The sequence below is a fragment of the Homo sapiens genome, chromosome 22, assembly GCF_000001405.40.
Source record: "Homo sapiens chromosome 22, GRCh38.p14 Primary Assembly".
Taxonomy (NCBI): Eukaryota; Metazoa; Chordata; class Mammalia; order Primates; family Hominidae; genus Homo; species Homo sapiens.
In genome coordinates, this window is record NC_000022.11 from 48248322 (window position 1) to 48260480 (window position 12159).

The following is a 12159-nucleotide window of genomic DNA, read 5'->3' on the forward strand; positions in this document are numbered from 1 at the left end:
TGCAGGTCACGGGAAACTAGAGATGGGGGATCGCTAAATACAGTGTAAGTCACAGAAGACTGGAGAGGGGACCCCTAAACACAGCATGGGTCACAGGAGACTAGAGAGGGGGGACCCCTAAACACGGCACAGGTCACAGGAGACACAGTGAAGGTCACAGGAAACTAGAGATGGGGGACCCCTAAACAGAGTGCAGGTCACAAGAGACTAGAGAGGGAGGACCCCTAGTCACAATGTAAGTCACAGAAGACTACAGAGGGGACCCCTAAACACAGCATGGGTCACAGGAGACTATAGAAGGGAGACCCCTAAACCCAACATAGTTTACAGGAGACTAAAGGGTGGCTCACCCCTGTGATCCCAGCACTTTGGGAGGCTGAGGCAGGAAGATCTCTTGAGCCCAGGAGTTTGAGACCAGCCTGCGCAACATAGTGAAACCCCGTCTCTACAAAAAGCATAAAAATTAGATGGGTGTGGTGGCATGCCTCTAGTCCCAGCTATTTGGGAGGCTGAGGTGGGAGGATCACCTAAGCCTGGTTAAAATAATCAGGAAGAAATCAAGACCAAAGTGAGGTCCTTTTTCCCTTCTCCTCTTCCTTCCTTCCTTCTTTCCTCCCTCCCTTCCTCCCTCCGTCTCTCCCTCCCTCCCTCCCTCCCTCCCTCCCTTCCTTCCTTCCTTCCTTCCTTCCTTCCTTCCCTCTCTTTACTAACTGGGAAGAAATGTGGTTGAAAGGAAATGTCCTGGCATCTGAAGTTCTTTGGAAACCAGGCTGGGAGCTTATCAGTGACATAGCTTCTGGTTGGTCATCTCAGTTCCCTGGGCCTCAGGATAAGGACACTGAGGACACCTACATGGCACAGCAGGGTGGGAGGTGCGTGGGACTGAGCCCTAGCCTGGCGACCGGGACCCCAGCCGTTGTTATTTCCCCTGCGACCCACAGGCTGCGGGTTGGGCTGCAAGTGACCTCCAGGAACCCACACCCAGGGCAAGAAGCCCCAGACACCTCGGTGGGAAGGTGAGGAGGCGGGCACTGGACCAAGCCTTCCTGCTGGGCAGAGATGGGACTGGCTTTTCATAAGATTGCGCCTTGGGCCGGGCACGGTGGCTCACTCCTGTAATCCCAGCACTTTGGGAGGCCGAGGCGGGCGGATCACGAGGTCAGGAGATCGAGACCATCCCGGCTATAACGGTGAATCCCCGTCTCTACTAAAAATACAAAAAATTAGCCGGGCGTAGTGGCGGGCGCCTGTAGTCCCAGCTACTTGGGAGGCTGAGGCAGGAGAATGGCGTGAACCCGGGAGGCGGAGCTTGCAGTGAGCCGAGATCCCGCCACTGCACTCCAGCCTGGGCGACAGAGCGAGACTCCGTCTCAAAAAAAAAAAAAACAAAAAAAAAAGATTGCGCCTTTCAGCAACATCAACTCTTCCAGGAAATGTGCTTATATTTGCAAAATGTATCAAACAGAATAAAACTATCTAAACAACCATGACTCAAAGGCTTTCTTCTGACTTAAGCAAATGGAGTTCAGTTTGCAGTTTGCAAATTCTTCCGTGGAGTTAAATTTTTGAGTCACTTTGCACAATCTTGCTCTTTAGAATAGTTTTCAAAGAGAGAAAACGCCTAAAGCAAAAATTCTCAATTCCACAGTCGCTTCCTTAGCTCACCCACAGCCTGGCTCCCAAGGCGGGAGAGAGGTGAACATTCTACCCACATCCCCCTCTAAACACATCCAGCTGCCTCTGGAGGGGACGGCAGAGGCTTCTGGGCTCCTCCTGGGGCTGAAGGAAGCGCTGGGGAGGGTCCTGGGCTGCACCATACAAAGATGCAAAAGGCTTACCATGGGCAGGGTCAGGGGAAGTGTGTTCATTATTTTAAGTGTGAATGTTTAGTGGCTCCTGGAGAAGGTATGGATAGACCCTGAGCCTCAAAGCCACCCTGAGCAGCCAAGTCTGGACGCCCTGGGGGTGGCTCAATCCCGCCCATCCCTGCTGCCTCCTGCACCACCTTCCTCAGTCACAGATTCCCCGGGGCAGAGACAGACAGGCACGCTCCTCTTGGCACCCTCCCGTATGGGGCCACCAGTCCCTGCCCTGGCCCCAGTGAGTGCCCTGAAGGGTGGTTAAAGACTTCAAGAGAACGGAGTCTCTCTGTTCTAGAAGCTGCTCCCACCTCAGCTTGGGGCTGACCTCTGCAAGGGACGAGGCCCTCCTGCTCCCCAGCGCCCACTGGGTCCCTTTCTCCACATCCACTCTCTGACCAGCTCGGCTGCCCCAAGCCCTCCTTCCACCCACGGATGCCTGCTCCGCTCTCTGGGGCGTCTGGAAAAGGGAAGGTCCTTCCACTGCAGCACTGGGCTTCCGATGTTTGCAGGACCCGGTCACATCTCTCCCGCTTGGTCAAGCCTGTGCTCGCGCATTTTCTGAGATAGTGTTTGTTACAGGTTTCCCCAGTGCCTGCCTCTGCCCCTAAAGTTGCCAGGAAGCATTGGCACAGTCCCTGCCACTCTCCTGGAGGAAGGCTGGGCAGGTCTCACACCAGCACTGGGAGAGTTCTGACAAGGTGGCTGGGCCTGGGTGCCATCCTGGGTTCTGTCCTGCGCCTCTCTCAGCAAATGACACCATGGACCCCTCACTCTTTCTTCAAACACTCTTTCCTCCTGGCTTCCAGGACACCTGGCTTCCTGACCCTTTCTCACTCCCTGCCCCTGCTTAGGCTCCTGTCTGGCTCATCCTCATTTTGGTGAACTTGATACCTTAGTACCTGAGGCTCAGACCTTCCCCTCCTCTTCCCTGTCCATACGCAATCAGTCCCCTGGGCAGTATCCTCCTGTCACCTGGTTTTAGTACCGTCCATCTGCAGAGACTCTGAAACGTGTAGCTCCAGGACATGCATCTTCCACCACTCTCTCCTTCCTTCCTCCCTCCCTGCTTCCTTCTTTCCTTCCTTCCTTCCTCTCTCCTTCCTTCTTCCTTCCTTCCTTCTCCCTTCCTTCTTTCCTTTCTTCCTTCCTTCCTTCCATCCATCCATCCTTCCTCCCTCTCTCCTTCCTTCTTTCCCTCCTTCCTTCCCTCCTTCACTCCTTCCCTCCTTCATTCCTTTCTTTCTTCCTCATACACACAGCTGAACACTCCATAGAAGTTGACATTTGACAGACATCTCAAATGGAACACGCGTGACTCTAAACTCTTGATTTCTCCTCAAAACATGCTTCTCCCCCATTTCCCAATCTCTGTAAGTGGGAAAACTGTTCTTTCTGTTTCTGAGACCAAAGTCCTCAGCGACGTCTCAAATCCCCTTTCATTTTCACTCCTCATCTTCAATCCATGGGACTTTCAAAACCACAACAAGAACCCCACCACTCAAGCACAGGGCCTCCCCCTCCAGCCCTCAGCCCTGCCACGATGCCCCTACCTACTCTGTTCTCCCTGCCAGTCCTCTGTTCTTCATGGAGCTGCCAAGGGGATGCTTACCAATCTGATTTGTGTCTTCCTTGTTGATAATTGACACCGGACCCCTCGTGGGGATGTGTACTCCACCCAGGAGGGCAGAGACCTGCTCCATCAGCAGCTGCGTCCTCCTTGCCTGGGACAGTGCCTGGGCATCAGCAGCCATGTCCTCCTTGCCTGGGACAGCACCTGAGCAGAGACCTGCTCCATCAGCAGCCATGTCCTCCTTGCCTGGGACAGTGCCTGGGCAGAGACCCGCTCCATCAGCAGCTGCGTCCTCCTTGCCTGGGACAGTGCCTGAGCAGAGACCCGCTCCATCAGCAGCCATGTCCTCTTTGCCTGGGACAGTGCCTGGGCAGAGACCCGTTCCATCAGCAGCCATGTCCCCCTTGCCTGGGACAGTGCCTGGGCATCAGCAGCCATGTCCTCCTTGCCTGGGACAGTGCCTGGGCATCAGCAGCCATGTCCTCTTTGCCTGAGACAGCACCTGAGCAGAGACCCGCTCCATCAGCAGCCATGTCCTCCTTGCCTGGGACAGTGCCTGGGCAGAGACCTGCTCCATCAGCAGCCATGTCCTCCTTGCCTGGGACAGTGCCTGGGCAGAGACCCGCTCCATCAGCAGCTGCGTCCTCCTTGCCTGGGACAGTGCCTGAGCAGAGACCCGCTCCATCAGCAGCCATGTCCTCTTTGCCTGGGACAGTGCCTGGGCAGAGACCCGTTCCATCAGCAGCCATGTCCCCCTTGCCTGGGACAGTGCCTGGGCATCAGCAGCCATGTCCTCCTTGCCTGGGACAGTGCCTGGGCATCAGCAGCCATGTCCTCTTTGCCTGAGACAGCACCTGAGCAGAGACCTGCTCCATCAGCAGCCATGTCCTCCTTGCCTGGGACAGTGCCTGGGCAGAGACCTGCTCCATCAGCAGCCATGTCCTCCTTGCCTGGGACAGTGCCTGGGCATCAGCAGCCATGTCCTCCTTGCCTGGGACAGTGCCTGGGCAGAGACCCGCTCCATCAGCAGCTGCGTCCTCCTTGCCTGGGACAGTGCCTGAGCAGAGACCCGCTCCATCAGCAGCCATGTCCTCTTTTCCTGGGACAGTGCCTGGGCAGAGACCCGCTCCATCAGCAGCCATGTCCCCCTTGCCTGGGACAGTGCCTGGGCATCAGCAGTCATGTCCTCCTTGCCTGGGACAGTGCCTGGGCATCAGCAGCCATGTCCTCTTTGCCTGGGACAGCACCTGAGCAGAGACCCGCTCCATCAGCAGCCATGTCCTCCTTGCCTGGGACAGTGCCTGAGCAGAGACCCGCTCCATCAGCAGCCATGTCCTCTTTTCCTGGGACAGTGCCTGGGCAGAGACCCGCTCCATCAGCAGCCATGTCCCCCTTGCCTGGGACAGTTCCTGGGCATCAGCAGTCATGTCCTCCTTGCCTGGGACAGTGCCTGGGCATCAGCAGCCATGTCCTCTTTGCCTGGGACAGCACCTGAGCAGAGACCCGCTCCATCAGCAGCCGCGTCCTCCTTGCCTGGGACAGTGCCTGGCACCTGGCAGGTACTCGCTTAGTGTGCTCGGGCAGGTGAAGGAATGCAACGGGCTGCTTTGCTCCATGAACGCGCCTGTGCGTGTCTGCCGTGTTCCACGTGTATTTCGTGGAGGCCTACAGTGTGCACATATGCCAAGGGTGGGGGGGGGAGCGGAATATGGGGTGAATCAAATATAGGCTTGTGGCATCTTTAGGAATATGTATTTATTTGGTCTTTGTCCCCACTCCCTGGCACACAGCTCCTAAAGCCCTTGACATCTCTGGAGTGATGAGGGTCTTTGTAGGCCAAGGAGATGAAGGGGGCCAGGGCCCCAGGGAGCTTCAGGTTGGGGTCTGGTGGCCAGGAAGACAAAGGCAGAATTGGGGGGTGGGACTTTCAGCCCCTTTCCCAACTCCAGGGAGGGAAGAGGGGCTGGAGGTGGAGCAGTCACCAAGGACAGGTGACATAATCAGTCCTGCCTGCAGGGTGGAAGGGTCTGGGGGGCTGCTGGGCTGCTGACTCCATCCAGGTGTTGGGAGGGCGGCTCGCCCAGAAAGCACGTGCAGGATCCTCGCCCTCCCTCCTTACACTGCAGCTCTTCCTTGTGGCCGTTCTTGAGGCGGATCTTTTATAATAAGTTGTTGAGAATAAGTGGTGGATTTTGCTGAGTTTTGTGAGCTGTTCTAGCAAATTATGAAAGGAGGGGTTATGGGAAGCCCTGATTTCTAGCCTGTCAGTCAGAAGTACAGGGGCCACCTGGGACTTGGTGGCTGACATCTGGGATGGGCACAGTTTTGTGGGACTGAGCCCCTCACCTGTGGGGTCTGTGCTGATTAACTTGTGGGTAATTTGTGTCAATTGTGGGGCACCCAGCTGGTGTCTGGAGAGTTGAAGAATTGGTCGTTTCTGTGAATAAAAAGCACCATGCTTTGGTGTCAGAGTGTTCCGAGTAAAAACAGTTCCAAAGACCTGGCCTCAAGGGTTTCACCCCTATTTGGGGGAGGCTGGCCAGAAGGAGTGAGGGAGGAAGTTTCCTTCCCTTAGAATGTCAGTTCCCCAGACGGGATCCTGTGGCTTCATGGCTGCGTTCACACTCAACAGTGCCAGCAAGCAGGAGGCTGCTGTTGAATATGCACAAAGAAGGAAGAGGGAGGGAGGAGGAGGACTCCAGAGAAGGGAGGGTCCCCTCGATTGGCCTTTCCGCCTGGTGCCATCCTGCCTCCATGTCAGGACACCCCAGTGCGACCATCTGTCTAAGCGTCTGACCTGACCAACCTGGCATTTCAACCTTCTTTGGGGAGAAGTGGTACTCGGTGTGCATTTAATTTCATAATTGCAGTCTCCGATTTGTCAACTTCTCTACCTTCGGGAAGCACAAGGAACACTTTCAGCCAGCGCCTGTGTGATTTCAGAGCGCTGCCCTGAAGTAACCTCTTGTAAAAACCCACTGTGTTACTAGCTATTGAAATTTATAGCTCTCGTACCTCTGGGAGAGGTGAAAGTGTTTACTGTTCTTTAAATAAATAAGGATGTGTGTTAAGCATTATAAGTGAGTCTGGGAGACGGGGGTGAAAAACAGTTTTAGGATTTGCAGTTGAGGAATTGTAGATTTTACTCTTTTGGGTTGGAGGCTGGCAGAAAGCACTGGTGCACAGCCAGAGGGGCAGGGTAGCCCCCTGCAAATCTCGAAGACCTGGGAAAGCCACTCTCTGAGCAAGGTGGGGTGGGTGCATTCATGAACAGCCAGTGAGTCCATTTTCCCTTTGGTTAGAATAAAATAAAACCTACTTGCAAATACATCTGCATGAAAACAAATAGACAATAAATAAACACACACATAACAAAATCAGTAAGAATACACATAATAAATAAAACTAATAAACATCAGCCCCGCCTCTCAGAAGCTGTGTGATCAGCAAATATTTTCATTTTTGGAGCCTCAATTTCTTCATTGGAATAATCTGGAAAATATTTCCTGCCTCCTGGCTTTGTTGGGGGGATGCAGTTCTGCTAATGCAGTGAGACGTCTGCTGCCGGCATCGACAGAAGCCTGGTCTGGACACACAGGGCGCTGCTCTCTCAGGATGACTGGGTTTTAGGAAGAGCTGTTGCCTGTTTTAGAGAAGGTCACACAGTCAAACTCTCCATGCAGATACTTTGTCCACTCCCAGATGTGCGGATGGAGACTGAAGGGAAAGAGGCGTGGTTGATCCCATCATGGCAGGGCATCCGTGGCCTTCCTGGGGGGACCACCTACTGCCCCTTGCCACACGTCCTGAGTGATGGTGTCCAGAAGCAGGAGCTAGAGACACGCAGGCCTTTGTCGGCTCTGAAACACAGCGCACACTCAGGACCGCATCCTCAAGGCGCTACACCAGCCATTTTGCTGAAGGCAAAACATCTTAAAATAAACAAGTCAAGGCCGGGCACGGTGGCTCACATCTGTAATCCCAGCACTTCAGGAGGCCGAGGTGGGTGGATCGCCTGAGGTCAGGAGTTCAAGACCAGCCAACATGGTGAAACCCCATCTCTACTAAAAATACAAAAATTAGCCAGGCATGGTGGCAGGCTCCTGTAATCTCAGCTACTGGGGAGGCTGAGGCAGGAGAATCGCTTGAACCCGGGAGGCAGAGGTTGCAGTGAGCTGAGATCGCGCCATCACACTCTACACTGGACGACAAGAGCGAGACTTTGTCTCGAAATAAATAAATAAACAAACAAGTCAAATGTGCAAAGAAATATTGCCGTGGTTCTAACTTCACAGATTTGCTGACTTTCTCTGGGGCTGCAAAACTTCACTATGTTTCCAGGCAAAAGGCAGGTGGACGCCAGGGTCTTTGCAGGTGCGGGTGGTGAACCCAGTGCAGGGCTGTTTCCCCCCTACCTGCACATTGCCTGCGTAAACAAAGGCCAGCTCTCTCCTCATTTTCTCCGTGTTGCTTTCCAACAGCAGCTGACTGGGGAAACCCAGAGACAAACGGTCCCAGGGGCTCCGAGTGACACTGTGCTTTGTCACCACGTCGTTCATCTCAGCCAGCTCCTCTGCCGGCCCCCTCTTCACCTTGATGGGGCAGCGCCTTTCTCCGCTGTGTCTGTGGCCTTCCCAGGTGGACTTCCCACAGGGGGACAAGGAATTGGCTCTCTGGGGATCCAAGAAGCTGCCAGAACACTGCAGAATTCCAGGCAGGGAGAAAGGGCAGAGATTTCATCCAAACTCCAGAGTCTTCCTGTGAGGCGGCAGCAGGACAAGCCCTGCTCACAGTTAGAAACTGGACAGGTGGCAACACGACCTGAAAAGTGTGAGAGAAAGTCCGGAAGTAAGCCCAGCAGGCAGGGAGACCTTGGCCACGCTGCGTCATCCCTTTCTGACAACTTGGGAGGATGATATTCCTCCTAAATCGTGGAGAAGTCCTGTGCTCCTTCAGCAAACATCCCTGGAACATTTCCTACAGGGCAGGTCTTAGGACAACCCTAGGACCAAACATAGTGAAAGCATCCACAGTGGGAGGGGAGGGGTGGGCAAAGGAGCATCAGCAGCTGGCGGTGAGCACAGAAACCCCTCATCGGACCAGACCTCGGGGAGCCGGACCTGGGGAAGCAGCAACCCCTCATGGACCAGACCTCGGGGAACTGGACCTGGGGAAGCAGCAACCCCTCATCGGACCAGACCTGGGGGAGCAGCAACCCCTCATGGACCAGACCTGGGGCAGCAGCAACCCCTCATTAGACAAGATCTGGGGAAGCCGGACCTGGGGAAGCAGTAACCCCTCATGGACCAGACCTGGGGGAGCAGCAATCCCTCATTGGACAAGACCTGGGGAAGCCGGACCTGGGGAAGCAGCAACCCCTCATCGGACCAAACCTGGGTGAGCTGGACCCGGGGGAGCAGCAACCCCTCATGGACCAGACCTGACAGCCGAGGGCCGGGGCTGTGTCTCATCCATCACTGTCTCTCCTGATCTCATCAGCACAGTTGGGAACAGCAGGGGAAAATGTCTTGAGTGAATGGACTCAATAACTTAGACACTGTTGGAATCCAAAAGACGCACCCAGGACAAAGCATCGGTAGAGGAAAGCACATTCCCGACGCTGACCCATGAACTTCTCACACTCCAGAGTTCCCCTCACAGGCGGCAGCAGGGCCTGTGTTTCCCAGTTGGAACAGGGGTCGTTTTGGCCCATGACCATCAAGACAGGCGCTGTTGAATGCCCCTGTCTGGCACAGGGGTTGTAAATTCTGAGGAAAATGGGCAGCCAGCATTCCTGCTGGGCATCCATTCCCCATTTCTCTCTGATTCTGCTGTTTCTCAAGGAAGCAGAATCTCGCCCATTCCACCTTCTCCTGGCCTCCCCGGCACAGCCACTACTCTTGTACAATTACTGCCTTCAGAGCCTGTTGTTCCTTCTCTCGAACTGACCTGGAGGAAATAATTACCAACAGCATTTAGCACTGCTCTCTTCTTCTTATAGTACGTGGGGATCCTTTGATGTATTGTGATATTAAACATCTAAGTAACCCAGATGGGTGTTGTCTGTCGTTAGTTAAGGGTTCTCCCAGAACCATTAACGCCCACGCATTCCAAACCCAACATTGCACAAATCTGACTGGTATTAGAGATGTTGTGTGCTGTCGCCATGGAAACTTTCTCCCCACCCCACCCCCACCGCCACTCCCTGGTTTTCAGCTTAATTTTGTAAAAAACATGCAATTCAGCTGGCAGGAGCTTTCAGATTTAAATATAGAGATTGGATTAAATTAGTGTTAAAGTGGAGTTTGAATCCATAGTGCAAGAAATGAATAAAACCTGGTCATGTTAAGGGATGTGGTGGAAAGAGCCGAGATGGGGCATTAGCACCGCACCAGACGCCTGCCTCAATGTCAGGTGGTGCTCCCTTTAGCTGCAGGTTTTGGTGTTTCAGTAGCCTGTGTGCTAAGACATCTTCAAGGGGAAAAATTAGTTTGGGTTTTTTTCTTCAAGTACGTCTCTGGGTTGTTTCTGCATAACTCATTTCCTCTTTCTGTTTAGGGTGGGACGCCCAAGGCTGCAACTTCTTCTCCACTTCTTCCTCCCTGAAGTTTGGGTTGGTCTTGGGACATGTTTTGTTCAATAAACGGAGCAGAAAAGTGTGCGCTTAGGTCTCACAAGGCTGTGCACACTTTAGCGCCTGCAACCGCTACCATCAGAGCAAGCCCCAGCTAGCCTGCTAGGTGATGAGGAGCACAGGGGTCAGCCACCCCCATCCCTCAAGCCCACAGCTGCACAAGCGGGGCCACCTGCTGCTGGCTAACCCCCGTCACATGCATTAGAGAGCCACTGCCCAGCTGGGCCCAACTCAAATTGCGAGCCCACAGAACTCTGAGCAAAATACATGATTATCATTTTAAGATGCTCCATTTTAGGGCATTTAACTGTACAACAAAGGCTTATTTTTACATGACCTAACAATAAAGCATCAGATTAGCCTTGTGGCATGAAAGTAGAAAAACAACTGTTACCTTAGCAGTTTAATGTAGGGCATTGATGATTTCTTGAGAAACAGGGATAATTTCTGTTTGTGGAACCCCGTGAATTTCAGATCCTGCAATCTTCCATGTACCAGCTGGCTCCCGTCTCTCTCAGCCACACAAGTTGGCAAATGGTGCCTGCAAGCCAGGTTGTCCTGGGGCCAAATTACAAGGGGCTCCAAGCTGCTGCCCAGATCTTTGGTTGGTCTGAACGTTGAGTGGAAATGAGCCACAGATCCGGTTTGGGAACTCAGTCTTCCTTGTAGCAGGAAGCTGTTTAGGTCACTGACATGATGGTCCAAACAGCACTCAGAAAATCATAAAATGGCAAGCAAAATGAGCAATTCTGCACGCAGCACGTGACATGGAGTATGAGCTCGCATTTGCCGAAGGAGCAAATGACAATGGCCTTGCCTCTGCCACGTGTTCAGTGCCCTGTTCAGTGCAGGTGGAAGGAAGCCACCCTAGGATCAAGGCCTTCTGGACTATGGTCTACTTGTTGTGACTACGGGGGTGCTTGTCCCAGCCTTGATTTTAGAACACATGTAAAATAGCATCGTAATCTTTGTAGCACTTTCTTCACAGAGTCTCTTAGCACTTTATACCTCACTCGGCACCCAACTTGTGAAAGGCATTTTCAAATAACAATGATAGTTATGATTCTTTGGGCAGTTGATTGTTCACATACAGGACTAGACAATGCCCAGAGATTATAAATAGTCCCATGGCGTGGTTTTCACCTGATATGCTAGAATTAGACACAAGACTTGCTCTCTTCCACGCCACATCATATTTTGTCCCTCTCTCATGGAAACAAGACATTTCATGGGCAAGAAAGCAGGCAGAGAGCCAGCCTTTGATCCTGTTGTCCGTGCTGCAGAGAAGTATTCACACACGTGGCCGGACAATGTGGTTCAATGGCTTTTATGGTGTTTGCATGCGGAAGGCATCAGACATTTCATATTTGTAATCTTAACTAATCTCTCTGACAACCCTTCAAGGCAGATGGCACTCTCCTACGGTGAAGACGAAGATGCAGGGGCTCAGGAAGAACAAAGCCCTGCCAGAGGCCCAAAGGCAGCACGGGAGGAGCCGAGGTGTAAACCCATGGAGTGAACAGAGACCCCCACCAGCACCCAGGCTTGTCCGTGGGTTTCTTCTGCCCTGTCTCCCTTTGCTGAGAAGCCTGTTCTCCGATGTCTTTCCCAAAGTATCCAGGGAACCCTAACCAATAGAAAACATATCCTACTGGCATGTTTCTGGAAGAACCATGATTCAGAGTTGCACAAGGTACTGGAGTCCAAATGGGCATCTCAGAATGATTTGGTGAAGGGCGCTCATGAAAATCCAAAATGCTTTGTCAGGATGGATGCACTGGGCTGCTGTTCAGGGGCAGCCATGGACCATCTGCCATAGGGGAGCTCGTGCCAGCGAATATGCTTCACATGACTGTTCATACATCTCAAAATAATCTTATAGCGTTGTTTGTACCTTGGCCACTAAAAGGTTGGAATGTGCTTCTCACCAACTTCTAGAAGTTGCAGGCTCTCCAAAACATGTTTAATTTACATGGGCAACTCCCACATTTCAGTTATTTTTATAAGTCTAAGATATTACTACCAAGTGACAGAACAGTCGGCACTAATTACTGCTCGGTTGAGTTGCTGGCCTTCGTCATTAAGGCAGAAGC

At 53.0% G+C, this 12159-nt stretch overlaps 1 annotated feature.

Moving 5' to 3' along the window:
• Positions 5306-5806: an enhancer, noted in NCBI's record as "H3K4me1 hESC enhancer chr22:48649439-48649939 (GRCh37/hg19 assembly coordinates)". NCBI's record gives its function as "activates a minimal SCP1, AML or CMV promoter by ChIP-STARR-seq in naive H9 embryonic stem cells {active_cell/tissue: H9 hESC(naive)}" and the evidence as "EXISTENCE:reporter gene assay evidence [ECO:0000049][PMID:30033119]".